Source organism: Homo sapiens, chromosome 3, assembly GCF_000001405.40.
Source record: "Homo sapiens chromosome 3, GRCh38.p14 Primary Assembly".
Taxonomy (NCBI): Eukaryota; Metazoa; Chordata; class Mammalia; order Primates; family Hominidae; genus Homo; species Homo sapiens.
This window is the reverse complement of record NC_000003.12, coordinates 12,612,710-12,640,564: the sequence shown is the minus strand read 5'-3', so window position 1 is coordinate 12,640,564 and position 27,855 is coordinate 12,612,710. Positions and strand designations below refer to the sequence as shown.

Genomic DNA, 27,855 nt, shown 5'->3' with positions numbered 1-27,855 from the left:
ATATCCTTTGCCCACTTTTTGATGGGGTTGTTTGATTTTTTTCTTGTAAATTTGTTTAAGTTCTTTGTAGATGCTAGATATTAGCCCTTTGTCAGATGGGTAGATTGCAAAAATTTTCTCCCATTCTGTAGGTTGCGTGTTCACTGTGATGGTAGTTTCTTTTGCTGTGCAGAAGCTCTTTAGTTTAATTAGATCCCATTTGTCAATTTGGGCTTTTGTTGCCCTTGCTTTCGGTGTTTTAGTCATGAAGTCCTTGCCCATGCCTATGTCCTGAATGGTATTGCCTAGGTTTTCTTGTAGGGTTTTTATGGTTTTAGGTCTAACATTTAAGTCTTTAATCCATCTTAAATTAATTTTTGTATAAGATGTAAGGAAGGGATCCAGTTTCAGTTTCTACATATGGCTAGCCAGTTTTCCCAGCACCATTTATTAAATAGGGAATCCTTTCCCCATTTCTTGTTTTTCTCAGGTTTGTCAAAGATCAGATAGTTGTAGATGTGTGGTATTATTTCTGGCGGCTCTGTTCTGTTCCATTGGTCTCTATCTCTGTTTTGGTACCAGTACCATGCTGTTTTGGTTACTGTAGCCTTGTAGTATAGTTTGAAGTCAGGTAGCATGATGCCTCCAGCTTTGTTCTTTTTGCTTAGGATTGTCTTGGCAATGCAGGCTCTTTTTTGGTTCCATATGAACTTTAAAGTAGTTTTTTCCAATTCTGTGAAGAAAGTCATTGGTAGCTTGATGGGGATGGCACTGAATCTATAAATTACCTTGGGCAGTATGGCCATTTTCACGATATTGATTCTTCCTACCCATGAGCATGGAATGTTCTTCCATTTGTGTCCTCTTTTATTTTGTTGAGCAGTGGTTTGTAGTTCTCCTTGAAGAGGTCCTTCACATCCCTTGTAAGTCGGATTCCTAGGTATTTTATTCTCTTTGAAGCAATTGTGAATGAGAGTTCACTCATGATTTGGCTCTCTGTTTGTCTGTTATTGGTGTATAGGAATGCTTGGGATTTTTGCACATTGATTTTGTATCCTGAGACTTTGCTGAAGTTGCCTGTCAGCTTAAGGAGATTTTGGGCTGAGACGATGAGGTTTTCTAAATATACAATCATGTCATCTGCAAACAGGGACAATTTGACTTCCTCTTTTCCTAATTGAATACCCTTTATTTCTTTCTCTTGCCTGATTGCTCTGGCCAGAACTTCCGACACTATGTTAAATAGGAGTGGTGAGAGAGGGCATCCCTATCTGGTGCCAGTTTTCAAAGGGAATGCTTCCAGTTTTTGCCCATTCAGTATGATATTGGCTGTGGGTTTGTCATAAATAGCTCTTATTATTTTGAGATACGTCCCATCAATACCTGGTTTATTGAGAGTTTTTAGCATGAAGGGCTGTTGAATTTTGTTGAAGGCCTTTTCTGCATCTATTGAGATAATCACGTAGTTTTGATTTTGGTTCTGTTTATATGATGGATTATGTATGTTGAACCAGCCTTGCATCCCAGGATGAAGGCAGCTTGATCCAGCAGCACATCAAAAGCTTATCCACCGTGATCAAGTTGGCTTCATCCCTGGGATGCAAGGCTGGTTCAACATATGCAAATCAATAAACGTAATCCATCATGTTCCTGTACATTCTTTTGCATTCTACATGACCTTATGTATGTTTAAAAACACATTTTTACATTTCTTTTTTTGTATTTTTAGGCCGTGTTGGCCAGGTTGGTCTCGAACTCCTGACTTCAGGTGATCCGCCCATCTCAGCCTCCCAAAGTGTTGGGATTACAGGCATGAGCCACCATGCCCATTTTTACATTTCTTGAGCAGGAGCCCTGTAGTTTAAAAGTCCCCTTTATTTTCAGCAGTGTACATTTAAGACAAATCGGATGTGTGAGTAGGTAGAAAATATTTACCGTTTACTGTGACAGAACAGATGAACAAGAATGTATTTGGTTTTATTTGTAATATAAAACAACTGTGAAGGGAATGCCAAACAATAGTAGTGAATCAAACTTTGGAAATACCTCTGACGTAGAATTCTATAGTAGCTTTAATTGGGTATTATTATCAGCTGGTCTGTTTGGGACTTGTTTGATGAACTGTTAGATGACTGACTGCCAGCCAATCATTATCCTGGCTGCTCCTTAGCTGACTGCCAGTCAACAATTACTCCATGCTGATTCTACAGTTTTTCCACAGTTGTCAGTGTTCTAGTTCTGAGTATAGTCTCTTGGCATAATGTGGTTCATAAACGACTGCACTGATAACTTTTGTTAGAACTCACCACTTGCCAGATAGCCCAGATGCCATATGTTACTCATTCAGTAAATAACTCTTAAGAGCCTGCCAAATGCTAGATACTTAAAGGCAGTGGGTTATAAGGGTGAACTGAACTTAGCTTCTTAGAGCATACTACCTAGTGGTATAGGCAGTCAATAATCATTGAGTAGGCAAATACCTAATATTATTTCAAATGGTGATAAATTATTATGAAAACCAAAAAGCTGAGTAAAGAGAAGAATGATGGGGAAGGGTAGGATACACTTGAACCAGGGTGGTCAGGGGAGGTCCTGTTTGATGGGTAACGGGCCAGGCCATCATGAAAGGTCTTGTAGGTCACAGTTAAAGAATTCGAGTGCTAATTTGAGTGAAATAAATAATAGATAAAGGGTATTTAATAATATGTCCAAATTTGTGTTTTTTGTTTTGTTTTGAGACAGTCTTGCTCTATCGCCCAGGCTGGAGTGGAGTAGTGCAATTTCGGCTCACTGCAACCTCTGCCTCTCGGGTTCAAGCGCTTTTCCTGCCTCAGCCTTCCGAGTAGCTGGGATTTCAGGTGTGTGCCACTACACCTGGCTGATTTTTGTATCTTTAGTAGAGACAGGGTTTCACCACATTGGCCAGGCTGGTCTCGAACTCCCTGACCTCAGGTAATCCATCCACCTCAGCCTCCTGCGAGCCACTGTGCCCGGCCTCCATTTGTGTTTTAAGAACACAATGACTGTGCTCCATAGAGGACAGATTGCTTTCAAATGTTAATAGAGATGGAGGCGGGTGGATCACCTGAGGTCAGGAGTTCCAGAACAGCCTGGTCAACGTGTCGAAACCCTGTCTCTACTGAAAATACAAAAATTAGCCAGGTGTGGTGGCATGTGCTGTAGTCCCCGCTACTGGGGAGGCTGGGCAAAAGAGCGAAACTCCGTCTCAAAAAAAAAATGTTAATAGAAGCAAGACCTACAAAGATGTACATATGCATATATACAATACTCTGTATTCAGTTTCTGGAAGTTCGTGAATTCACTGAAGTTCTCAGAAGTTGAAAGATTGAAGTTAACCCGATACCCTAGTTCCTAGGTGATAATCTAGTTCCCAGGTTTACTAGTGAGTATAATACACTTAAAAATTGAGCGAGTTCAGCTTTTCACTTGAAGAATTTGTTTTACTAGCGGAGGTACACAATTTTTGCTAACTTAGAATGTTTTTTATATGCCGGACTCTAAATTAGGTACTTTATATACACTATCTTATTCATTCTTCACTGCAATTCAGTGAAGTTTGTACCATTATTATCTTTACCCTAGATCCATGGAGTTGCCCAAGTAGTGAAGCTGGATTTCAAACTCAGTACCTGTTCTTTTATCTACTAAACCAAAAGTGTTCAGTATAGTCTCCAGGGTATGTAGTATGTAATGAAACTGTTGTTGCCGCTGCTGTTCATTGATGTAGCAAATATTTTTTCTTTCTTTCTTTTTTTTTTGAGACAAGGTCTTGCTCTGTTACCCAGGCTGGAGTGCAGTGGCATGATCTTAGCTCACAGCAGCCTCCACCTCCCAGGCTCAAGTGATTCTCCCCTCTCAGCCGCCCAGGTAGCTGGGACTACAGGTGCAAGCCACCATGCCTGGCTAATTTTTGTATTTTTTGTAGAGAAGGGGTTTCGCCATGTTGCCCAGGCTGGTCTTGAACTTCTGGACCCAAGTAGTCTTCCTCATCTCAGCCTTCCAAAGTGCTGGGATTACAGGCATGAGCCACCACACCTAGCCAGTGTAGCAAATGTCCCTTTTTTTTTTTGAGCAACCATGCTTACTGCATTTTAATGTAATCAATCAGTTTTTTTTTTTTTAAAGATATACAGTCTTGTTATGTTGCCCAGGCTGGTCTTGAACTACTGGGCTTAAGCGATTCTTCCACCATGGCCTCAAGTGATTCTCATTTCTCAGCCTCCCAAGTAGCTTGGTGGTATGTACCACCAAACCCAGCTGTTTTTTTTTTTGTTTTTTTGAAATGGAGTCTCGCTCTGTCACCCAGGCTGGAGTGCAGTGTCGCAGTCTCAGCTCACTGCAACCTCTGCCTCCCGGGTTCAAGGGATTCTCCTGCCTCAGCTTCCCAAGTAGCTGGGATTACAGGTGCCCACCACAATGCCCAGCTAATTTTTGTATTTTTGGTAGAGACGGGGTTTCACCACACTGGCCAGGCTGGTCTGGAACCCCTGACCTCAAGTGATCCACTCACCTCGGCCTCCCAAAGTGCTGGGATTGCAGACATGAGCCACCACGCCTGGCCTAAAAACAACATTATTAATGTTTTTTTTTTTGAGGTGGAGTCTCGCACTTTCGCCCAGGCTGGAGTGCAGTGGCGCGATCTCGGCTCACTGCAAGCTCTACCTCATGGGTTCACGCCATTCTCCTGCCTCAGCCTCCTGAGTAGCTGGGACTACAGGTGCCTGCCACCACGCCTGGCTAATTTTTTGTATTTTTAGTAGAGATGGGGTTTCACCGTGTTAGCCAGGATGGTCTCAATCTCCTGACCTTGTGATCCGCCCACCTTGGCCTCCCAAAGTGCTGGGATTACAGGCGTGAGCCACCGCGCCCAGCCTAATAAATTTATAAAGTAATCTCTCTCTCTCTTTTTTTTTTTTTTTTTTTTTTTGGAGCTGGAGTTTCACTCTTTTTGCCCAGGCTGGAGTGCAATGGCACGATCTCGGCTCACTGCAACCTCTGCTTCCCAGATTCAAGGGATTCTCCTGTCTCAGCCTCCCAAGTAGCTGGGATTACAGATGTGTTCCACCACACCGGGCTAATTTTGTATTTTTAGTAGAGGTGGGGTTTCACCATGTTGGCTAGGCTGGTCTCGAACTCCTGACCTTACATGATCCGCCCACCTCGGCCTCCTGAAGTGTTGGGATTGCAGGTGTGAGCCATGGCCCCTGGCCTTTTTTTTTTTTTTTTTTTTTTTTTTTTTTTTTTTTGAGACAGGGTCTCCCTCTGTCACCCAGGCTGGAGTACAGTGGCAAGATCCCGGTTTACTGCAACCTCCGCCTCCCGGTTTCAAGCAATTCTCCTGCGTCAGCCTCCTGAGTAGCTGGGATTACAGGTGCACAGCCCAGCTAATTTTTGTATTTTTAACAGAGACAGGATTTCATCATATTGCCCAGGCTGGTCTTGAACTCATGAGCTCATGCAATTCACCCACCTTGGCTTCCCATAGTGCTGGGATTACAAGTGTGAGCCATCGTGGCTGCCCTAGTAGAAAGTCTTAAAGAAGTATTAAACATATACTAGCACCTAACTGAGACTTTTTCCTTATATCAGTTTTAGTTTATATCTTGTATACATATCTCTTATAATCATTTTGTAAACCATGAATAGTATATATCCCCTGCTTTGGGAAACACTGTGGTGCTATACTATTTTATTAATGTTGTTCAGCTACCTGGAGTATCTGAAGACCTAGCACAGGTTTTACCATTCACCTCCTCCAAAGGGGAGAGGATATACTTAAAGGGGCTAACTTTGAAAATATGGGCTATTTCCTTCCCTTCTCTGTTACTCCTTCCCTCTCTCTGCTCTTCCTCCAACCACTTTCCTCCCTTCCTCCCTCCCTGGCACTCTCAAGAAAAAAAGGCCATTATGTAGATGATAGTTGGAAATTGCTAGAAGGGGTCACATAATTGTGGATTCTTGTATCCGGTGCACAGTTGTCACCCAGGGATTTCCCTCCATTGGCCTTCTGGAGATTTCCTTCGCTTCTTTCCTATGCTGGATGTCCCGTTTCCTATATCCTAAGTCTTTCTCTTGCTATATTCCTGTAACAAATCCCTTGAGAAAGGAATTACGGGCCAGGCGCGGTGGCTCAAGCCCGTAATCCCAGCATTTTGGGAGGCCGAGGCGGGTGGATCACCTGAGATCAGGAGTTTGAGACCAGCCTGGCCAACATGGCGAAACGCCATCTCTACTAAAAAAAAAAAAAAAAATTAGCCAGGCGTGGTAGTGTGTGCTTGTAGTCCCAGCTACTCGGGAGGCTGAGGCAGGAGAATCGCTTGAACCTGGGAGGCGGAGGCTGCAGTGAGCAAGGTCATGCCACTGCACTCCAGCATGGGTGATAGAGCAAGACTCATCTCAAAAAAAAAAAAAGAGAGAAAGGAATCATGGAGGTTCAAATTTTTGTAATCATGAATGTCAGAAAATATCTCTCTAGTTCTGTCCCTCACTGATAGTTTTGCTGATTATTGTAAATTGGAGATAGTTTTCCTTCAGAATCTAGGAGGCTTTGCTCCATTATGTCTTCTAGTGTTGTTGAAGAGTTTGAAGTCATTCGGATTCCTGATTTTTTTTGTTTTTTTTTTTTTTTTTGAGAGAGTTTTTACTCTTGTTGCCCTGGCTGGAGTGCAATGGCACAATCTTGGCTCACTGCAATCTCTGCCTCCTGGGTTCAAGGGATTCTCCTGCCTCAGCCTCCCAAGTAGCTGAGATTACAGGTGCGCACCACCACACCCAGCTAATTTTTGTATTTTTTAGTAGAGACAGGGTTTCACCATGTTGGCCAGGCTGGTCTTGAACTCTTGACCTCATGATCCGCCCGCCTCGGCTTCCCAAAGTGCTGGGATTACAGGCGTGAGCCACTGCGCTGGGCCTGTATTTTTTTTTTTTTTTTAACTGTAAAAGTTTATAGAATCTGGTCCTCCATTATTGTGATATTTAACGTGTTAGGCATTCGATAGGCTATTTTAATCTGATAGTTCAAGTTCTTTCATTGTGGATTTTTTTCTTTTTTCTTTTCCTTTCTTTTTTTTTTTTTTAATTTCCAGACAGGGTCTCCCTCTGTTGCCCAAGCTGGAGTGTGGTGGCACAACACAATCACAGCTCTTGGCAGCCTCGACCTCCTGAGCTCAAGTGATCCTCCCACCTCAGCCTATACCTGGGAGTACAGGCGTTCGCCACTGTGTTGGAATAATTTTTATAATTTTTTGTAGAGATGAGGGTCTTACTGTGTTGTCCAGGCTGGTCTTGAACTCCTGGGTTCAAGTGATCCTCCTGCCTCACCCTCCCAAAGTGCTGGATTACAGGCCATTGTGGGTTTTTTTCTCTGTGTGTTTTGGTCTTTATCATCCATATTCGAGGGTTTCCTAAAAAGCCTGATATTCCTTTGCAACCTCTTTATTTTTTTAAAAGATAAGATTAAAAACAAATTGGAATCTTTGGGTGCATGGATGAGATTTGTTGTCTTTGAGCTTTATTGTAAGGTAAGGGAAACTAAAGATTTTAGTTTCTTTGAGTTTGGTTGCCCCACTGGGGAAAAGGGGTTTCTGCAGTCAAGGATTCAGTAAGTGTAGTTTGCAGAACAGTATTCATACTCTCAACTGGGTCTGGAATCCTCCAGTCAAGAGATCCTCTAATTTACCTTCTCCAGGAATATAAGCCTGGGACTACTTTTTTTTGTTTTTTCCTCTTCACGTCAGATGGGTAATGTGTCCATGTCATTACAAGGTTTGAAGAAGGCACATCTCACACATGAGTGTGAAAACTCAATCATGCTTATAAACTACAAAAGGATCAGCCTGGGACTGAGTTTTAGAGAGTTTCAAGAATTTCAGAAGAGTTTCAGAGAGCTCTTCGGGAACTAGGTTGTTGAATTCTACTTTTTGTCAAAGGGGTATAAAAAATAGAAAATAGTCTCTTTCTTTTAAGTTGCTGATGGAAAGCTGACTAATGTGGAATTCTTAGAAAGATTATACCCACTGTTGTTGGTTGCCTTTATCAATCTGTATCTTTACCTTCTCTAAACTTTTAGAAGGCTTTGTCACTTAAGAAAGATGAAGTAGTAGCACAACCCTCCTTTTCCAGGTTAAACCTACTTCTCCCTGCCCCAAAAGATCAGAAAAAAACAGACAGTGATCCATTGCTTCAGAAAATAAGTTTATTTTGACAATTCACCCAAGCCTACTCTTTTTTTTTTTTTTTTTGAGACGGAGTTTTGCCCTTGTTGCCCAGGCTGGAGTGCAACGGTGCAATCTCGGCTCACTGCAACCTCTGCCTCCCGGGTTCAAACAATTCACCTGCCTCAGCCTCCCGAGTAGCTGGGACTACAGGCATGCGCCACTGTGTCCAGCTAATTTCTGTATTTTTAGTAGAGACAGGGTTTCACCATGGGCCAGGCTGGTCTCGAACTACTGACCTCATGATCCCCCTGCCTTGGCCTCCCAAACTGCTGAGATTACAGGCGTGAGCCACTGTGCCCTGCCAAAATTAAATAATTTATTATCAAACATTTAAAATTAAATTTGAAGGAGAATATTGTGATACAGTATTTGGATTGAGAGTGTAATTGTGTAAAAGTACATGGGTATGTGGAAAAGGATTAGGGCCACAGCCCCAAAGTCACCATTACTAAATAGAAAAAGGTCAATTTTGAACAGATGTACCTCTGCAGAGATGTAGCTCAGCTAGCAGGAAAACTTCTACATGTGAATTAGAAGGATCCCCATCCTTCATGCTTATGCTGTCTGTATACTAGACACATGGCCTAGCAAGTGAAGCATGAGCTGAATTTCCACCCTCTCTCATCTCCTGTGGTGGGTGTTCTTCTGTGGGATAGAAGCTATAACAGTATCGTTTACTCTGTGTTAGGTGCAATGCTAAGTGCTTTACAAACACTACTGAACAATTGTGTTTTGTTTTGTTTTGTTTTTGAGATGGAGTCTCACTGTGTCGCCTAGGCTGGAGTGCAGTGGCGCGATCTCGGCTCACTGCAAGCTCCGCCTCCCGGGTTCATGCCATTCTCCTGCTTCAGCCTTCCGAGAAGCTGGGGCTACAGGCGCCCGCCACCACGCCCGGCTAATTTTTTCGTATTTTTAGTAGAGACAGGGTTTCACCATGTTAGCCAGGATGGTCTTGATCTCCTGACCTCTTGATCCGCCTGCCTTGGTCTCCCAAAGTGCTGGGATTACAGGCGTGAGCCACTGCGCCTGGCCACTATTGAACCATTTAGTAACAACTCAATTAGATAAATAATATCTTTATTTTACAGTTCTTCTGCCCAGACATCTTCTGAACTTCATAATTCTATATCTAACTGCCTATGTCATTTATTTTTAATATAGTGAGCCACCACGCCTGGCCAGTTTTTAAATTTTTTTGTAGAGACTGAGTTTTGCCATGTTGCTCAGACTGGTCTCGAACTCTTGGGCTCATCCGCCCACCTTGACCTCTCAAAGTGCTGGGGTTAGAGGCATGAGTTAGTGAGCCTGGAACAATCCTTTTAAGATTTAAGCCTGGCCAACACAGTGAAACCCCATCTCTACCAAAAAAATACAAAAATTAGTCAGGCGTGGTGGCACGTGCCTGTAGTCCCAGCTACTCAGGAGGCTGAGGTGGGAGAATCGCTTGAACCCAGGAAGCAGAGGTTGCAGTGAGCAGAGATCGTGCCACTGCACTCCCTCTGGGTGACAAAGTGAGACCCTGTCTCCAAAAGAAAAAATCTAAGGTAGATTGTGCCTTTTGTGCCTTTCCTCTGCTCAAGACCTTTCAGTGGCTTCCCACTTCACTCAGTAAAAGGCAAAAAGTCCTTTTAATAACCTACAAGGCATTATGTTACCCACATTGTCCCTGCTCCCCTACATTGTACTCAAGTCTATGATCTTTTTACCATTCCTTGTACAAAGGATTTTCACTGGCTGTTCTTTCTGCCTGGAATGTTGTTCTCTCAGTTATCTGCAAGTCAGACTCACTGATTTCCAGGTCTCAGCAGTTACCTCTTCGTTGAGACCTACTGTGACCTCACTATGTAATTGCAGTCTGCCTCCCTTTCCCCAGCACTTATCACCCACTATCATGGAATTTACTGTGAATGCCTCCAGCAGAAGATAGGCTTCTCTTATGATCATGGATCCTTGTGTTTTGTTCCCTGAGGTAGCCCAAGCATCTTGAACAGTGCCTGGTACATAGTAGGCACTCAGTAATGTTTATTGCATGAATAAGTGACGAAAATTGGTATATGGGAAAGGTAAGCAATTTGGTGAAAGGCCAGGCCATACAGCTAATAAAAGGTGGAGGTAGATTTTGAACTGATAGTTATTTATTGTGCCTCTAATATTAGAAGATGATACCCAAAAAAATGTGTTAGGATTAGTAAAATTGTGAGTAACTTCCCCTTTATCCTCCTTCCCAAATTTAGTTTTTGTTTTATTGTAAGTAAAAATATAATTAGGCCAGGTGTAGTGGCTTACGCCTATAATCCTAGCACTTTGGGGAGGCTGAGGTGGGAGGGTCACTTGAGGCCAGGAGTTCAACACCAGCCTGGGCAAGATAGTGAGACTTCGTCTCTACAGAAAATAAAAAATTAGCTGGACTCAGTGGTGTGCACCTGTAGTCCCAGCTAATCAGGAAGCTGAGGCAGGAGGATTGCTTGAACGTGGCTCAAGGCTGCAGTGAGCCATGATCATGCCACTGCACTCCAACCTGGGCAACAGACCCAGACCGGTCATGCCTTAGAAAAATAAACAAATAAAAGTATAATTAGAAACAGATTATCAGAGTAGAGGAAAGAGCCAGATACCAGGAAGCCAGAGTAGGCTGCCACAAGGTTGAAATCTGTCACCTCATCTTAGGAACCGCCTCTCCCATGAATGCACGGATCTTAACATATGTGATGGTGTGATGAAACCCTGGTGAGATTTGTGAATATTCTGAATACCATGTAACCTTGGACATTTTTACTTAACCTTTATGGTCCATAGATTCCTCACTCTAAAATGATAATTTCTCTTATAGGGGGTTGTTGGGAGGATTAAAAGGGATATTGTATGTAAAGAACTGATACATAATAAGCATTCTGTATTAGCTAATACATTAGCTAATATCATTATTGTTGCTGCTGCTTAGTTGGTACAGAGTTTTAAGAAATTTATTTTTTGGTGGATATATCTTGTTGCCTAGTGAGTTTTAGCGAGTACCAAAATAGAGAGCAAACACTTATTGTTTTTGTTCAGATAGCCAAACAAGCTTTGTCAAGTGTTTGTGTTTTTTCATGGACACTTGCTTGTGGTTCTAATTTTATATTACATCTTAAACAATAGCCAACTTTTTGTAATTATTTACATAAATTTTAATATTTAACATGTGGATTCTACAACTACCATTGTTTCGTTGGTTTTGCATTTTTGGTTGACTTCTATGGGTCAGTTGATTTAAAATGATCCATAGGAATTATGATACAACTGTCATGATATTTAAAAATTAGTGAACTGGCTGGGTGTGGTAGCTCATGCCTATAATCCCAGCTGAAGACAAGCTGGTGAATCACTTGAGGTCAGGAGTTTGAGACCAGCCTGGCCAACATGGTAAAACCCTATCTCTACTAAATATACAAAAATTAGCCAGCATGGTGGCTCACACCTGCAGTCCTAGCTACCTAGGAGGCTGAAGGGGGAGGATCACTTGAATGTGGGAAACAGAGGTTGCAGTCAGCCAAGATTGCACCACTGCCCTCTAGCCTGGCCAACAGAGTGAGACCATGTGCCCCGCCACCCCCCCCCCCCAAAAATAGTCTCAGGTTCATCATACTTATATGAATAGAAGTTACTGCCAGTGTATCCATTAAAGTATCTTCTACTTTAAAGTAGAAATTTGAATGATAAATAAGGTCACAAAATAACTTACAGTGCCTGAGAAAAGAATGATAGTATAATATACTGAGATTTTTTTCTTATTAACACGATAATGAAATACATGAAAACTAGTAGAGTTGAGTTACATGAAGTAGGAAAAATGACTTTTTAAAAACTTTTTTTTGTAGAGTAGGTGTCTAACTGTGTTGTCCAGGCTGGTATTGAATTCCTGGGATCAAGTGATCTTCCAGCTTCAGCCTCCCAAGTAGTTGGGGCTACAGGTGCATGCCACCACACCCGGCTAGTTTTTAGATTTTGTAGAGATGAGGTCTCACTATTGCCAAGGCTGGTCTCAAACTCCTGGGCTTAAGTGATCTTCCTACCTTGGTCTCCCAAAGTGCAGGGATTAGCCCAGGCTGGTCTCAAACTCCTGGGCCTAAGTGATCTTCGTACCTCGGTCTCCCGAAGTGCAGGGATTACAGGCATGAACTACCGCACCTGGCCAGGCTGTAAGCCCATTTTATAACTTGAATGTAGAAATAGTTTTACACTCTAACATTTTAATTTTTGAGACGGAGTTTCACTCTTGTTGCCCAGGCTGAATGAAGTGCAGTAGCTCACTACAACCTCTGCCTCCCAGGTTCAAGCGATTATCCTGCCTCAGCCTCCCGAGTAGCTGGGATTACAGGCACATGCCATCACACCCGGCTAATTTTTGTATTTTTAGTAGAGACGGGATTTTGCCATGTGGGCCAGGCGGGTCTCAACCTCCTGACCTCAGGTTATCCACCTGCTTCGGCCTCCCATAGTGCTAGGATTACAGGCGTGAGCCAGTGTGCCTGGCCACACTCTAACTTTCTAAAAGAAATATTCACATAGGGAATAAATGCAGTTGAGAGATTATAGAAAGATACGGCTTTGAAGAATTTACACCATAACAGTCATGAATTGCTTGATTTTAAAGCAAATATATCCTCAAAGTCCAGGTGGCAGAATGATGCATGAAGCTAATAAAAGGCAATTTTTTTTTGGTGAACCTAGGGAACCTACCACCCTCAGAAATAATGTCGACCAGAAAAAATAGTTGTAGAGAAGTTTATATAAATTCATGATTGATAGATATAGAGTAGGTGACTACAGAAAGCTAAGATAACTGGCAATTATGAGTCATCCCTTTTTTTCTATCCTAAAACGTCCCCTGGTATCTTTCAGAGACTGATTTTGGGGTTAGGCCCATGTAGTAATTTTTTAACGGAATAGTAGCCAAAGTAGAGGAAGGCAAAACAGAGTAGAATCTAGGCCTTTTGATTTTTGAAGCATTCTGTGATGATTGGTAGGGGTGACCAGGGGAAGTCAGGAATCCAGAGAGAAGTAGCTTGGAACCAGGTAAACCTAATTTCTGTACTAGACTAGAATAATTTGTATTAAGTAAATTGTAGGCTTCTGAAATAATTTGTATGGTTTAGATATCATGATAAATTATGAATACACTATGTCTTCTCTGGCATGTGAAAGGTAAATGTTTGCCTATAGAATACAAGTTCCCAGACTGTCTTACCAAATAAATGTTTAAAGCCTGGGAACTTTCGTGGTAATAAAAGTTTTTACTACTATTTTGTATATATGAAGAGTTTTTTCTTTTCTTTTTTTTTTTTTTTTTTGAGACAGAGTCTCGCTGTCACCCAGGCTGGAGTGCAATGGCACAGTTTTGGCTGACTATAACCTCTGCCTCCTGGGTTCAAGCGATTCTCCTGCCTCAGCCTCCTGAGTAGCTGGGACTACAGGCGTGCAGCACCAACCCTGGCTAATTTTTGCATTTTTAGTAGGGATGGGGTTTCACCATGTTGGTCAGGCTGATCTCGAACTCCTGACCTCAGGTAATTCACCTGCCTCAGCCTCCCAAAGTGCTGGGATTACAGGCGTGAGCCACCCCGCCTGGCGAAGTTATCTTTAAAAAACAACAACAAAAAAAACTTTATCATTGAGCAGAAATGTGATTTTACAATTAGTTTCCATATAAACTTTTTGTTACCAAAGTATCATCAAATTACATACTTAACAATATTCTTTTTTTAAATGCCTTTTTTTTTTTTAGACAAGGTCTCGGTCTGTCGCTTTGGCTGGAGTGCAGTTGTGTGATCGTGGCACACTGCAGCTTCGACCTCCTTTGCTCAAGTGATCCTCCCACCTCAGTCTCCCAAGTAGCTGGGTCTACAGGTGCATGCCATGACACTCAGCTAATTTTTGAAATTTTTTTGTACAGACGGGGTCTTGGTATGTTTCCCAGAGCTGGTGTTAAACTCCTGGGCTCAAGTAGTCCTCCCATCTCAGCCTTCCAGAGTCCTGGGATTTGCAGGTGAGAGCCACGGTGCCCAGCCCATGAACAATTAAAAAAAATTTTTTTTTTAATGTTTGGTTTACTTTTTTTTTTTTTTTTTGAGACAGAGTTTTGCTCATGTTGCTCAAGCTGGAGTGCAATGGCGCTATCTTGGCTCACTGCAACCTCCACCTCTTGAGTAGCTGGGATTGCTGGGATTACAGGCGCGCACCACCACGCTTGGCTAATTTTTTGTATTTTTAGTAGAAATAGGGTTTCACTATGTTAGCCAGGCTGGTCTCAAACTCCTGACCTCAGGTGATCTGCCTGTCTCAGCCTCCCAAAGTGCTGGGATTACAGGCGTGAGCCACTGCGCCCGGCCTACTTTTTTTTTTAATGCTTATCTATTTCCTGCAGTATGGTTTACTTTCGATATTATACTACGCATATAGTACTTGGAAGTATTAAATTGTATTGGTATTGGTGACAGGTGACACTGACCTTATTCTTAAATTATGGAAAATGACTCGTGTGTGTGTGAAGTGATCTCACTGTGTTGCCCAGGTGGACTTCAGTGGCTCTTCACAGGTGCAGTCATGCACTACAGCCTCGAACTCCTGGCCTCAGGAAATCCTGAGTAGCCTCTTAAGTAGCTGGGGGTAAATATTCTTTCACTTAGACCTTCAGCTAATGTACTGGGGGCAGTATTCTTTCCTGGGAGGTCTTGTTTTTAAACCAGTCCTGCCTTAAATTGTTCCAATTTTAGTTCTGTGGCTTTGAGTCTGAGGTAATTTTCAGTTTATTGGTATTAGAAACATTCCTGTGTTTGTGTAGTGCTGGGTGTGAAATGTGAAGTTAAATCTTTAAACAGTTAATAGATACTATTAGATTGCTGTACTTCTGTGGTTTATACTCTTCACTGTGAGAGTAGAATACTTCAAATGCTTGTGCTAGATGTTTTGCCTTTTTAATTTTACAAATCTGTCTGGGCACAGTAGCTCATGGCTGTAATCCCAGCACTTTGGGAGGCTGAGGTGGGTGGATCACCTGAGGTTGGGAGTTCAAGACCAGCCTGGGCAACATGATTAAACCCCATCTCCACTAAAAACACAAAATTAGCCAGACATAGTGGCGCATGCCTGTGATCCCAGCTACTTGGGAGACTGAGACAGGAGAATCACTTGAACCCAGAAGGTGGAGGCTGCAATGAGCAGAGATTGCGCCACTGCACTCCAGCCTGGGCAACAGAGTGAGATTCCGCCTCAAAAAAATAAATAAAAATAAAATAAATTTTACAAATTGATAAAAAATAGTTTTTATATTTGTGTTTCCCTACTTTATATATAAACATATATGTTTGTTGGCCTTTGTATTGCTTTTCTGTGAATTTAATTTCCTGTTTTTTTTGCAATGGCATTGTTCATCTTTTACTAATTTTTAGGAGCTCCTTGTTTTTGTTTTTGTTTTTTTTTTTTTTTTTGAGTTGGAGTCTTGCTTTGTTGCTCAGGCTGGAGTGCAGTGGCGCAATCTCGGCTCACTGCAGCCTCCACCTCCTGGGTTCAAGCAATTCTCCTGACCTCAGGTGATCCATCCACCTTGGTCTCCCAAAGTGCTGGGATTACAGGGGTGATCCACTGTGCCCGGCCAACATGTCTCTCTTTTTAAATGATTGATCTTTTCCAACATGACAAATTTCTCCATTCATAAGAGACTGCATTTGATTTTAGAACTTATCTGTGGAACTTTAAAAGACCTTTCACATGCAGAAGCTGATTTTCACTTTGGCTTATCTAGTTTTAGTGTGTGTCTAGGATGTGTGTGTATGTGTGTCTGTATATACATTTTTTAACATGGGGCCTTTAGTCAGAGAAATTACAGTATTAAAAGCTAGATCTATGCTTATATTTGAAGGTAGTATCAACAGGGTTTCTGATTATCTCCATTTAAGATTGAAGTATGTTGCTGCTGTATGATTTTTTTAGAAGATGCTTTTTCCTCCTTGTTTTCAGATGTCTGCCCTGATTTTTCAGATGTTTGCGTTGATAAAGGAATACCTTAGTAGAATTTTCTGTGATTAACAGGTTAGAGTTGTACCTCTCTTCCCTGAGACAACTTGTAGGGCCCTTGAAGCAGCATTGTCTGCGTATTTCAGCATGTTCTGCAAATATGACCTATCGTTTGTATGAGTATGTGCCATGAAAATGGTTAGGAAGGCCGGGTGCAGTGGCTCACACCTGTAATCCCAACACTTGGGAGGCTGAGGCGGGTGGATCACCTGAGGTCAGGAGTTCAATACCAGCCTGGCAAACATGGAGAAACCCTGTCTCTACTAAAAATACAAAAATTAGCCAGGTGTGGTGGTACATGCCTGTAATCCCAGCTACTTGGAAGGCTGCAGCGGGAGAATTTCTTGAACCTGGGAGGCAGAGGTTGCAGTGAGCCAAGATCGCGCCACTGCATTCCAGCCTGGGCAACAGAGCAAGACTGTCTCAAAAAAAAAAAAAGAAAAAAGAAAAGGGTTAGGAAACATTAACTTAGCCTGCCTCTTTTTTTTTTTTTTTTTTTTTTGAGACAGAGTCTCGCTCTGTCGCCCAGGCTGGTTGGAGTGCAGTGGCATGATCTCGGCTCACTGCAAGCTCCGCCTCCCAGGTTCATGCCATTCTCCTGCCTCAGCCTCCTGAGTAGCTGGGACTACAGGTGCCCACCACCACGCCCGGCTAATTTTTTGTATTTTTAGTAGAGGGGTTTCACCCTGTTAGCCAGGATGGTCTCCATCTCCTGACCTCGTGATCCATCTGCCTCGGCCTCCCTAAGTGCTGGGATTACAGGCGTGAGCCCCCGCACCCAACCCTTAGCCTGCCTCTTAAGCTGTAAGTGGTCTTGATATGGAGATAGAAAATAAAATACTATGAATGACAAATAATCTAAAACTTGAATTAAATAAAGTAGGTGTATTTTTATTTTGTCACTTTTTATTAAAAGTTATTGCAGTATATTCTCTACTGAGTACCAGCACTATATTTTGAGTGCCTGCAAGACTTAGAATTCATTGTAAAATTACTGTTCTTGGACTGAGGTTACATTTTAGTCTTATCAGTGGATTCTTCACCAATCGATTGGAATCAGTCAATTCCAATACAGTCTTCCCCCACAGTTGAATATAGAATAAAATCTATTGCAAGCTGGGTGCAGGGGCACAAGTGTGGCAGGAGTGCTTGAGCCTAGGAGTTCAAGACCAGCCTGGGCAACATAGTGAGACCTCATCTCAATTGAAAATATATATCTATATAAAAAATAAAATTTATTACAGTTCATCTTGCTGGAAAACAAAATACTGTTTTTGTAATTAAAATTTTTTTTTTAAATTTAGAAATGGGGTCTTGCTGTGTTGACCAGGCTGGTCTTGAACTCTTGGCCTCAAGCTGTCCTCCCATCTGGGCCTCCCAAAGTGCTGGGATTACAGGTGTGAACAACTGCGCCCGGCTGACAAAGTATTTTTTAAAGATGTACCACTAAATGGAGATTTGATTCACATTTGATAGTTTTTGACAGGTCTTTTCTATTTAAAAACATTACTGTTTTTGTAGCATTATTCTGGCTTTTCCCTTAATTTAGTAAATATTTGAGTGCCTTTGTATTCCAGATACTGAGCAAGATTGGCAGGGTTCTGCCCTTATGGAGCAGAAGGAAGGTAGGGGGACTGACTAAAACTTGAAAACTGTCTAACATAAGTACCATGCAGAAAATGAAACAGTATTAATTGGCAGAAGGAGAGCAGGCTATTTTGGCTAGTGTGGTTAGGGAAAGCCTCTCTAAAGAGATGTCTCTTGGGTGGAGACAAGATGTGAAAAAACCAGCTTGCCTGTTTTTGGGGTTTCAGCCTTGCAGGTGAAGAGAAACACGAAGTTCAGAAGTCTTGAGGCACAAAGTCTGGCATGTTACGAAAGAAGGCCTTTAGACGCCTTGTCAGGGAGTTTAGATTTTATTCTGAGTTTTAAAACGGGAGTGACACAATGAGTTGCATTTTAAGCCTGTTCAGGCTGTTACATGGATTATTAGGAGCTGTATCATTTCAGGCTAGTGAGATGCTCAGATGAGTCTGCCTTCTGTCTCTTCCGTCATCTATTTCTCTCTTATCTGGTCTTAAGCTCCTCCATCTTTTCCTTTTTAGTTGGAAAAAAACTCAAAGATCTAGAAAAAAGAGGAGCTGTATGTACTCCTAAAAAGGGACCTCATAGTAACCTGGGGATAGAGTTATGTAGGAGTGAGTCAGGGCTCAGGTTGAGGCTTTAGAGGCAGGAGGCAGCGAGATCTTGTTCTGTCATCCCCTCTTACAGAAATAAAATATGCCGATAAAAGTTTATAGTGTAATAGTAAAATATAAAAACAAAAAGTAAGTAATGTAGAAAATAAAAACCCTTCACAGTCCTGCTGAAATGATTACTGTTAACACTTTAATTCTAGAGTTCCCCATCCATTTATTTATTTCTAGATTTCCCTCTTTGTAGATTAATATTAAAGGGTTCAGACTTGTTCATTTTTTGTTGTCTTGGATATCTTTTCCCACCTCTGTATATATGGATCTACTTTATTTATCACGTGGATATTAACATGGTTTATTTAATTCCCTATTGTTAGGTATTTGGTCTTTACCACAGTTTTTCAAGGGTATGAATAGTGCTGCAAGGAATATGCTTACACATGTTTTTATACACTTGTCTTAGGCTTCTGTAGGACAAATTTCTGGAGTAGAATACTAGGTCATTCTTTAAGAACATTTCAAACTTTTAATAGATATTACCGTATTCTTTCCCAAAAAGAATGTACAAAGACTGTATGAGAATAACTCCATGTTGTGATCTTAAGTTGTCTCTAAACCTCTTTGGTTTTCTTAGCTGTCATCTAAGAATACTAAGTATCTAACCTCCCTCTTGATTTGGGCATGTGATGTGATTTAGCATATAGTGGATATTCAGTTAGAAACTTTTGGTTGAAAACAAGGTTTGGATTCTGTGGTCTTTAATTCTAGGCCATTTCAGCTCTGACTAAAATGATTTGAGTGTTAGTGTTATATATGGGAAGGTAAGGGCTATGGAGTCAGTGCAGCCCAGTTCAGAATCCCAGTTTGCCACTTACAAGCTGTGTGTGTGAGAATTTTCTCAACTGTAAAATGGGGACATAATTCCTACCTAGAGTAATACTGTAAGTATTAAGGTGGATAATGATTGGAATGTATGCTGTGTATCCTGCCTCATAATAGTAAGCTTTTAGTAAATGGTAGCTACTGTTAATAATAAAACAAGTTTCTGAAGGAGGAAGGCTTGAAAAGATGGGATTCCTTATCAACCTCAAAGTTTTCTAAAGGAGGAAACCCTACCCCCCTTACTTCTGCATGGTTTCTGACCATGAACTGAACTCTGAACTCTGAATGAACTGAACTCTGAACTCTGAATGAACTGAACTCTGAACTCTGAATGTTATGGTAGAAAATTCATGGACTTTAAATTTAAACAGATAAAGAATCTGGTTATTTTACCCACTGCTGGGGTGTTCTTGGGCAAGTAGCATGACTTCTGTGTCCAAAAAAGAAAGGGTTTGCAGTGACTGAACCTGTAATCCCAGTACTTTGGGAGGCTAAGGAGAGTGGATTGCCTGAGCTCAGGAGTTCAAGACCAGCCTGGGCAACATAGTGAGAGCCTTTCTCAACAAAAAAAACTGTTCTTAAAAATTAGCTGGGCATGGTGATGCACGTCTGTGGTCCCAGCTATGTGGGAAGCTGAGGTAGGAGAATCATTTGAGCCTGGAAAATTGAAGCTGCAGTGAGCTGTGATCATGTCACTGCACCCCAGCCTGGGCAACAGAGCAAGACCCTGTCTCAGAAAATAAATTAATTAAAAAGAAAGTGTGGATGGAGGAAGGGATTAAAAATCTGGCTGGGCACGGTGGCTCATGCCTGTAATCCCAGGCGTGATTTGGGAGGCCGAGGCGGACAGATCACGAGGTCAAGAGATTGAGACCATCCTGGCCAACATGGCCAACCCCATCTCTACTAAAAATACAAAAATCAGTCGGGCGTGGTGGTGCATGCCTGTAATCCCGGCTACTCGGGAGGCTGAGGCAGGAGAATCGCTTGAACCTGGGAGGTTCAGTGAGCCAAGATCGCGCCACTACACTCCAGCCTGGCAATAGAGTGAGACTCTGTCTCAAAAGAAAAGAAAAGAAAAGAAAATCTTTGGGGTTCTTACACAAATTAAATGAGATAATTTATTATTATTATTTTTTTTGAGATGGAGTCTTGCTCTGTCCCCCAGGCTGGAGTGCAGTGGTGCGATCTCAGCTCACCGCAAGCTCTGCCTCCCGGGTTCACGCCATTCCCCTGCCTCAGCCTCCTGAGTAGCTGGGACTACAGGCGCCCGCCACCATGCCTGGCTAATTTTTTGTATTTTTAGTAGAGACAGGGTATCCCTGTGTTAGCTAGGATGGTCTCGATCTCCTGACCTTGTGATCCGCCCATCTCGGCCTCCCAAAGTGCTGGGATTACAGGTATGAGCCACCATGCCCGGCTTGAGATAATTTATAAAGTGCCTAAAATACATCCTAGAAATATTAGTTTTTCTTCCTTGAAGTCATAAATTATGGCTTACACTTTTTTTCAGGTATTTCTCATAGTACTAATGTGTTGCTCACACTCAAGGGTAGTAGTTGCTTAGGAAGAAGAGAAATGTAGTTGAAAAAGTAATAGACTAGAAGTCTTGAGACCTGGGCTCATGTTCCAAGTTGGCTTTTTTTTTTTTTTTTGGGAGATGGAGTCTCGCTCTTGTCCCCCAGCCTGGAGTGCAATGACACGATATCGACTCACTGCAACCTCCACCTCCTGGGTTCAAGTGATTTCTCCTGCCTCAGCCTCCCTAGTAGCTGGGATGACAGACACCCACCACCATGCCTGGCTAATTTTTGTATTTTAAGTAGTGACAGCATTTTACCATGTTAGCCAGGCTGGTCTTGAACTCCTGGCCTCAAGTGATGCGCTGGCCTCGGCCTCCCAAAGTGCTGGGATTACAGGCATGAGCCACTGTGCCTGGTCCCTTGCTAAATGTTTTGTTTTGTTTTGTTTTGTTTTTGAGGTGGAGTCTTGCTCTGTCACCCAGGCTGGAGTGCGGTGGCATGATCTCCGCTCACTGCAAGCTCCGCCTCCCAGGTTCCCGCCATTCTCCTGCCTCAGCCTCCCGAGTAGCTGGGACTACAGGCGCCCGCCACCACGCCCGGCTAATTTTTTGTATTTTTAGTAGAGATGGGGTTTCACCGTGTTAGCCAGGATGGTCTCCATCTCCTGACCTCGTGATGCACCCACCTCGGCCTCCCAAAGTGCTGGGATTACAGGCGTGAGCCACCGTGCCCCGCAGTTGCTTGCTAAATCTTTTAACTGCTGGTCCCATTTTCCTCATCTATGAAATATTTAATGGAAGTGTACTATTAAAGAAACTTTTCTTTGCTGATGAATGCAGGAGGTATCATTAAAAACCCACATAGTGCTATTTTCATAATTACTCTTTATGTATTGTGTTCTTGGGTTGAATACTTTTGTTCTAGAGTTACAATTATTTGTGTTTCTTACCAGGTTTAAGAATTGTTTAAGCTGCATCAATGGAGCACATACAGGGAGCTTGGAAGACGATCAGCAATGGTTTTGGATTCAAAGATGCCGTGTTTGATGGCTCCAGCTGCATCTCTCCTACAATAGTTCAGCAGTTTGGCTATCAGCGCCGGGCATCAGATGATGGCAAACTCACAGATCCTTCTAAGACAAGCAACACTATCCGTGTTTTCTTGCCGAACAAGCAAAGAACAGTGGTATGTGAACATTCTACTTAGGAAATTTAGCTATTTATCTGCCTGTGGAGCACATTAAGGATCATGTTCAACTTAAAGACAGGCAAAATATTCATTGTCATTTAGGGTCTTTATTTTTTTTTTTCTAACTGCAGATTTATTTTTTTATATTGCTGTTCCTTCCACACCCCCTATTTTTTCCTACCTCTTGGCCTTCCTTCTGTTACTCTTGCCTGGAATGTCTTCCTTTGTGCCACTTCATCCAAACAAATAGTACATTCTTATGGGTATATTTCAAAGACTTTTCTTTGAGAAGTCTCTAGGCCTTTCCAACTACTTATTTTAGAAGACATTTTATTTCTTCTATTAAAATATTCACCTAAAGCTTTTTGACTATTACAATCAAGTATAAAGAAGAAAGTAAAGTTACATAGAAAAGATTATTTTTGTATATTTCATAGGCCCAGGACCAGTCTGGAGGCAGCTTAGAAATCATAGAATCTTCTTTTTCAGGGCACTGACACCAGCCACTTAGTTCTGCGTAGTTTATTTTTTCAGTGCCAGTGACAGGTTCATATTGGCATCATGGCAGGACACTGCCACTAGGTTTTCTGATAGAAAATTTCTTTTTCTTTTTCTTTTCTTTTTTTTTTTTTTGAGACGGATTCTCACTCTGTCACCCAGGCTGGAGTGCAGCTCACTGCAACCTCTGCCTCCTGGGTTGAAGTGATTCTCCTGCCTCAGCCTCCCAAATAGCTGGGACTACAGGCACACACCGCCACGCCTGGCTGATTTTTGTTTTTTGTATTTTTAGTAGAGACGGGGTTTCACCATGTTAACCAGGCTGGTCTCAAACTCCTGACCTCAGGTAATCCACCTGCCTCGGCCTCCCAAACTGCTGGGATTACCAACATGAGACACCACGCCCAGCCTGATAACAAAACTTCAATTTTTCTAAGAATTTAGCTCTCAAAAAGTTTTCTGGCTGGGTGTGGTGATTTATACCTGTAATCCCAGCACTTTGGGAGACCGAGGTGGGCAGATTGCTTGAGCTCAGGAGTTCGAGACCAGTCGGGCAACGTGGCAAACCCCATCTCTACAAAAAAAAATTCAAAAAAGTAGGCCTGGTGCAGTGGCTTACGCCTGTAATCCTAGCACTTTGGGAGGCTGAGGCCAGCTCATTACTTGAGGTCAGGAGTTCGAGACAAGCCTGGCCAACATGGTGAAACCCCATCTCTACTAAAATTGCAAAAATTACAGCCAGGCATGGTGTTGCACGTTTGTAATCCCAGCTACTTGGGAGGCTGAGGCAGGAGAATCACTCGAACCCGGGAGGCAGAGGTTGCAGTGGGCCAGGATTGCGCCACTGCACTCCAGCCTGGGCGAAAGGGTGAGACTATATTAAAAAAAGAAATAACAACAAAAATGTAGCCGGGCGTGGTGGCACACGTCTGTAGTCCCAGCTACTCGGTACTCGGGAGGCTGAGGTGGGAGGATGGCTTGAGCCCAGGAGGCAAAGGTTGCAGTGAGCTGAGATTGCACCACTTCACCCCAGCCTGGGTGACAGAGAGCCAGACCCCTTCTCAAAGAAAAGAAAAACAAAAAAAGTTTTCTACTATTATGGATAAAACAAACAAAACCAACCACCTGGCCAAAACAGAAAAGTGAAATTGCATTGGTTTTGCTTGGTGGAACTTTTGAGAAAACTTGGGTTCAAAACTTCCATGCCTCTTCCTTTCCCATCCTCTGTTCTTTGTGTAAAATCAATGCATTGTGTTTATTCCATATAGTCAGGTGAAGCAAGGTTCTGAGGTGGGGAACCCCAGTCCAGAGTTTTCTGTTTGCTTCTAACAGTTCCACTCTTCCCAATTTGTTAATAAATTGTTTATACTTTTTTTGTGAACCTAAGGAGCCTCCCAAGTGTAGTGTTGAATACTTAGGTGCATTTTGAACTGAAGGCAAAACTCAAAAGTCTAACTTTAATTAAAGTTTGAGTAAGTTTATCTTTGTCTCTCTTCCTAAAAATGAAAATTTTATGGCTGGCAAAATAAGCAGTAATAATCCCCTATATCTGAACAATGGTCTTCCATTTGCAAAGTAATTTTGCCTACTGTTTCTCATTAATTTTCTTTGTGACCTTAAATTGAGAAGTCAGATAGGAAGTGTGTGTTATGAGAAGCTGAAGACCATTTGGTGCTTCTTCAAAGTGTTATTGAGACTATCTTCTCCATCCCCATCTGCTACCAGTTTGCCCAGAAGGCTGGGAAACTTAATTTGGCATAGTGATTAAGTGTATGAACCTTTAAAACAAGAAAATCCCAATTTAAATCCTCATTGCCTTTTATTAGCTGTATCATTTAGACAAGTTCTGTACTTTTTTGATCCTCTTTCCTGACCTTTATGAAATGAGGCTTGTACTTAGCACAGTGGCTGATTCATAAGTGAAGTGGTAGCTATTATTATTATTATTATATGTATTTTTTTTAGATGGAGGCTCTCACTGTCACCCAGGCTGGAGTGCAGTGGCCCAATCTCGGCTCACTGCAACCTCTACCTCCCAGGTTCAAGCGATTCTCCTTGCCTCAGCCTCCCAAGTAGCTGGGATTGCAGGCACCCGCCACCACGCCTGGCTAATTTGTTTGTATTTTTAGTAGAGACAGGGTTTACCATGTTGGCAAGGCTGGTCTCAAACTCCTGACCTTCTGATCCGCCTGCCTCGTCTTCCCAAAGTGCTGGGATTACAGACATGAGCCACTGCACCCGGCTGCTATGATTATTTCTTAGCTTTTTATACATCTATGTAGTCCTTGATCCCCTCCATTTGAGCACAGCTGGTGGTTGGAAGCCAAGCTTGACTTCTCCTACAGCTTATGAGAAGGTTGTAGCCTAGGTTAGTTTTGCCTGTTTCTTTGGGTAAAGATGAACTAACTGTGGAAGAACTAGCTGCTTTCACCAGGCACGCAGCTTGAGGAAAGCGGTAGAAGAGGGAAGAGTTGCTTAGCTAGGCCAGCACCATCAGTCAGCTCTTTTTACTCCTCCCCAGGTTGCTTTACTTCCTGAACCCAGAATGACTCTCATAATCACTCAGTGGGTTCTAGAAATTATTTAACTGATTTCAGCATGTATCCATGGAGGGCTGTAAAGAGGAGAATGAGACAGAGGACGCGTATCTGATTTAAATAATTTTAGATGTGATAATTAGGTTTTTGAATGTTTCTTGGAATTTTTATTTTCTAAATGTGTGCCTCTTTGACTTCCTCCTGCTGCTGTTGCTGCTATTGCTGCTGCTGCTACTGCTTCTAATTATTATTAGATAAGTGATTGACTGGAGCCGAGGACCACTACTATTAGAGTCAGCTGACCAGCAGGTTAAAATACAGATTCATTCTGTATGAATGGGCTTTATTCCATACTAACTGAATCAGAATCCTTGGATGTGTTGGACAGGTAGATGGAATCTATATTTTCTCAAGCTTCTCTGAGGATTCTAATGCCAGCTACATTTGGGAATCTGACTGGATTAGATGATATTTAAAGAACTGTCCAGCTTGCAGTATGATTTAGTGAAGACTGATAATGTAACAGATATCACTTTATAGCTTAGAAAACATTGCTATACAGTATTTGATGCAGGTCATGATTCCGTTAGGTATGTTTATTACTCTTTGTTTTCCTCATTCTTAGTGTCTTAGTAGTTCACATCAGTATAGCTTACTTGTTTTGTTTCTGAAAAGCTGGAAGTTGGTGGGTATCACTGCGTCAAGAAACTTTTAAAATAAACTTATTTTGGAACATTAAAAAATATATACAGGCTGGGTGCAGAGGCTCTTCCCTGTAATCCCAGCACTTTGGGAGGCTGAGGTGGAAGGATTGCTTGAGCCCAGGAGTTTGAGACCAGCCTGGGCAATATAGTGAGATCTTGTCTCTACAAAAAAAAAAAACATTAGCTAGAAGTGGTGCTGCCCACCTGTGGTCCCAGCCGAGGCTGAGGCAGGGGGATCACTTAAACTGGGGTGGTAAAGGGTACATGTGTCATGATCATGCCATTGTATTCCAGCCTAGATGACAGAGCAAGATTCTGTCTCAGTATATATAATATAGATTTTACACACACACACACACGCACGCACGTAGAGAAAATAACAAATCTGATGTACCCCTTACCCACTTTCAACACTTAGCTAACCATGGCAGGCCTGCTTAATCTGTTTTCATCCACTCCTTTCCCAGTGTTTTGACACAAATCCCAGGTATCATTTGTCTGAACTATTTTGGTATGTACAAGAAACTTTTAAAGAATGCTAATTTTATTTATTTTTAAATAGGTAAAGCATTCATATGAGCCAAAAGTCTTGGGTGACCCCTGCCCCTGTATCCCCATTTCTTTTCCTCAGAGGTTTCTTATGATCAATCTTTATCTATTCGAAGAATCAGTTGGTTTCCCCTTACCCTGTTGTTCACGACCTTTCCTTTCTTCCACATCTCTGAAGGAGAGGAAAAACCATCGGTAGCTAAGGAGGCTATCACAAACTCCAAAGGAACTTTTTTCGTTTGGAGAATCTTTTCCTTCTCCCAGATGATTGATCCTCCTGGAGAATATTCCTTCCCCACTCCCATCACCTTCTCGACTAATCTGTTACAAGTTCAAATTCTTCTATACTGTACTCTCAATGTGGAGTCCATCTTTGGGCTTCAAAGAATGATTACTGGGCAGATAAGTCCCCTTCAGTCCCTGGTGATAGCAAAATAAAGCCTTGTGAAAAACTTCTTACGTTGCCCCTCTCTGATGTTTTCAAATTCCTTATGCTTACATGCATTCCCTTCTTTCCTAGATTGTTTTCTCTGCTTTGCATCCACATACTATGCCCTAGTTTGGAGCCTGGTAACTAGAAGGGCCCAGATAACTATGTCCTCTTTCTTAAGACTTTTTTCTGTTGTAAACCAGCTAGAGAAGGTTGGCTGGATTGGCATTGAGGTGGCTGGAGTAAGAGCCAAGATTAAGAACACTTTGGGCCTTTTGCAGCCCTGCTTTACTTCCTTCCCCCTCCCCGTGTACCCACATAGGTAGATATATGCATACACTCACCACCTTCTGGGGGCGGGGTGTGGGGGGGGATGGCGGGGTGGGGGAGCGGTTGGCTGGCTGCTGTCAGCTGTTAGCACTTTCAATCAGAGGAGGAACCTGGTAGGCAGTTCACAAGCACTGCAAATCTCTGTTTTGCCCTCCTTGCTGGCCATACTGACTCTAGTTACCTTACTTTTGATTAATTCTTGGCTTTGAAGTTAAACATGGAGGGCTTTTATCAAAACTCTGAAATTTTCATTCAAATTTTTTTACAGCTGCCATTAATTGTGAGTATCCTGGGCACTCACACTTCCCAGTAGGGTTCTGAGTACCTGCCTAGCTTTTTGAGGATTGAGTACAGGGGAATATAGAGAAGTATGTGCCACTAAGGCTGCTTGGTATGGTGTGCACATATATTTAAACTAAGATTGGTGTTTGTCCCTACAGCAGGGCTGGAGTTCTATATCTTCCACTTCCTGCTTTGCCTTCACTAGTGTTAAGTACTTGTGAGATGGAATTTTTGTTAGAATCATCAGTCATTTTTGTTGAAAGAGGTTGAAGTACAAATTTTGATCATAAAAACTCGTTTGTTTATAGATCAGATTGGCTTATTTCCTCTCTAATGAATCTAGTGAACATATATGTGTATACATTCTAATCACACAAAATTAGAGACGTATAAAGGAAAAGTTTATCATTTTATCTTTCTTAACCACTTTCTAACCACTTTCTTAACTGTCTCTTGATGTGAACAGCTAGGT

The 27,855-nt window shown here is 42.2% G+C and overlaps 1 protein-coding gene and 1 non-coding gene across 17 annotated transcripts in view; one reads left to right on the top strand and one right to left on the bottom strand.

Annotated features, from left to right (window-relative positions):
* Positions 1-27,855, top strand: part of RAF1 (Raf-1 proto-oncogene, serine/threonine kinase) — an 80,517-nt gene that overhangs the window by 23,553 nt on the left and 29,109 nt on the right. For 11 of the 16 annotated variants that reach the window (NR_148942.3, NR_148941.3, NR_148940.3 and 8 more), the window contains exon 2: positions 21,818-22,050. Coding sequence is in view for 13 of the 16 variants with exons in the window: in NM_001354693.3 (NP_001341622.1) it covers positions 21,844-22,050 (207 nt within the window). In the remaining 3 variants the exon portion in view is untranslated. Of the gene's footprint in view, positions 1-14,145; positions 14,239-17,567; positions 17,663-21,817; positions 22,051-27,855 lie in introns of those variants that run through there. The other 5 variants (NM_001354691.3, XM_047448651.1, XM_011533974.3 and 2 more) reach the window with 3 other exon arrangements.
* On the bottom strand, positions 7,731-7,831 carry LOC124906355 (small nucleolar RNA U13). The gene has a single exon (XR_007096323.1). It is a non-coding gene; the product is annotated as a small nucleolar RNA U13 (small nucleolar RNA).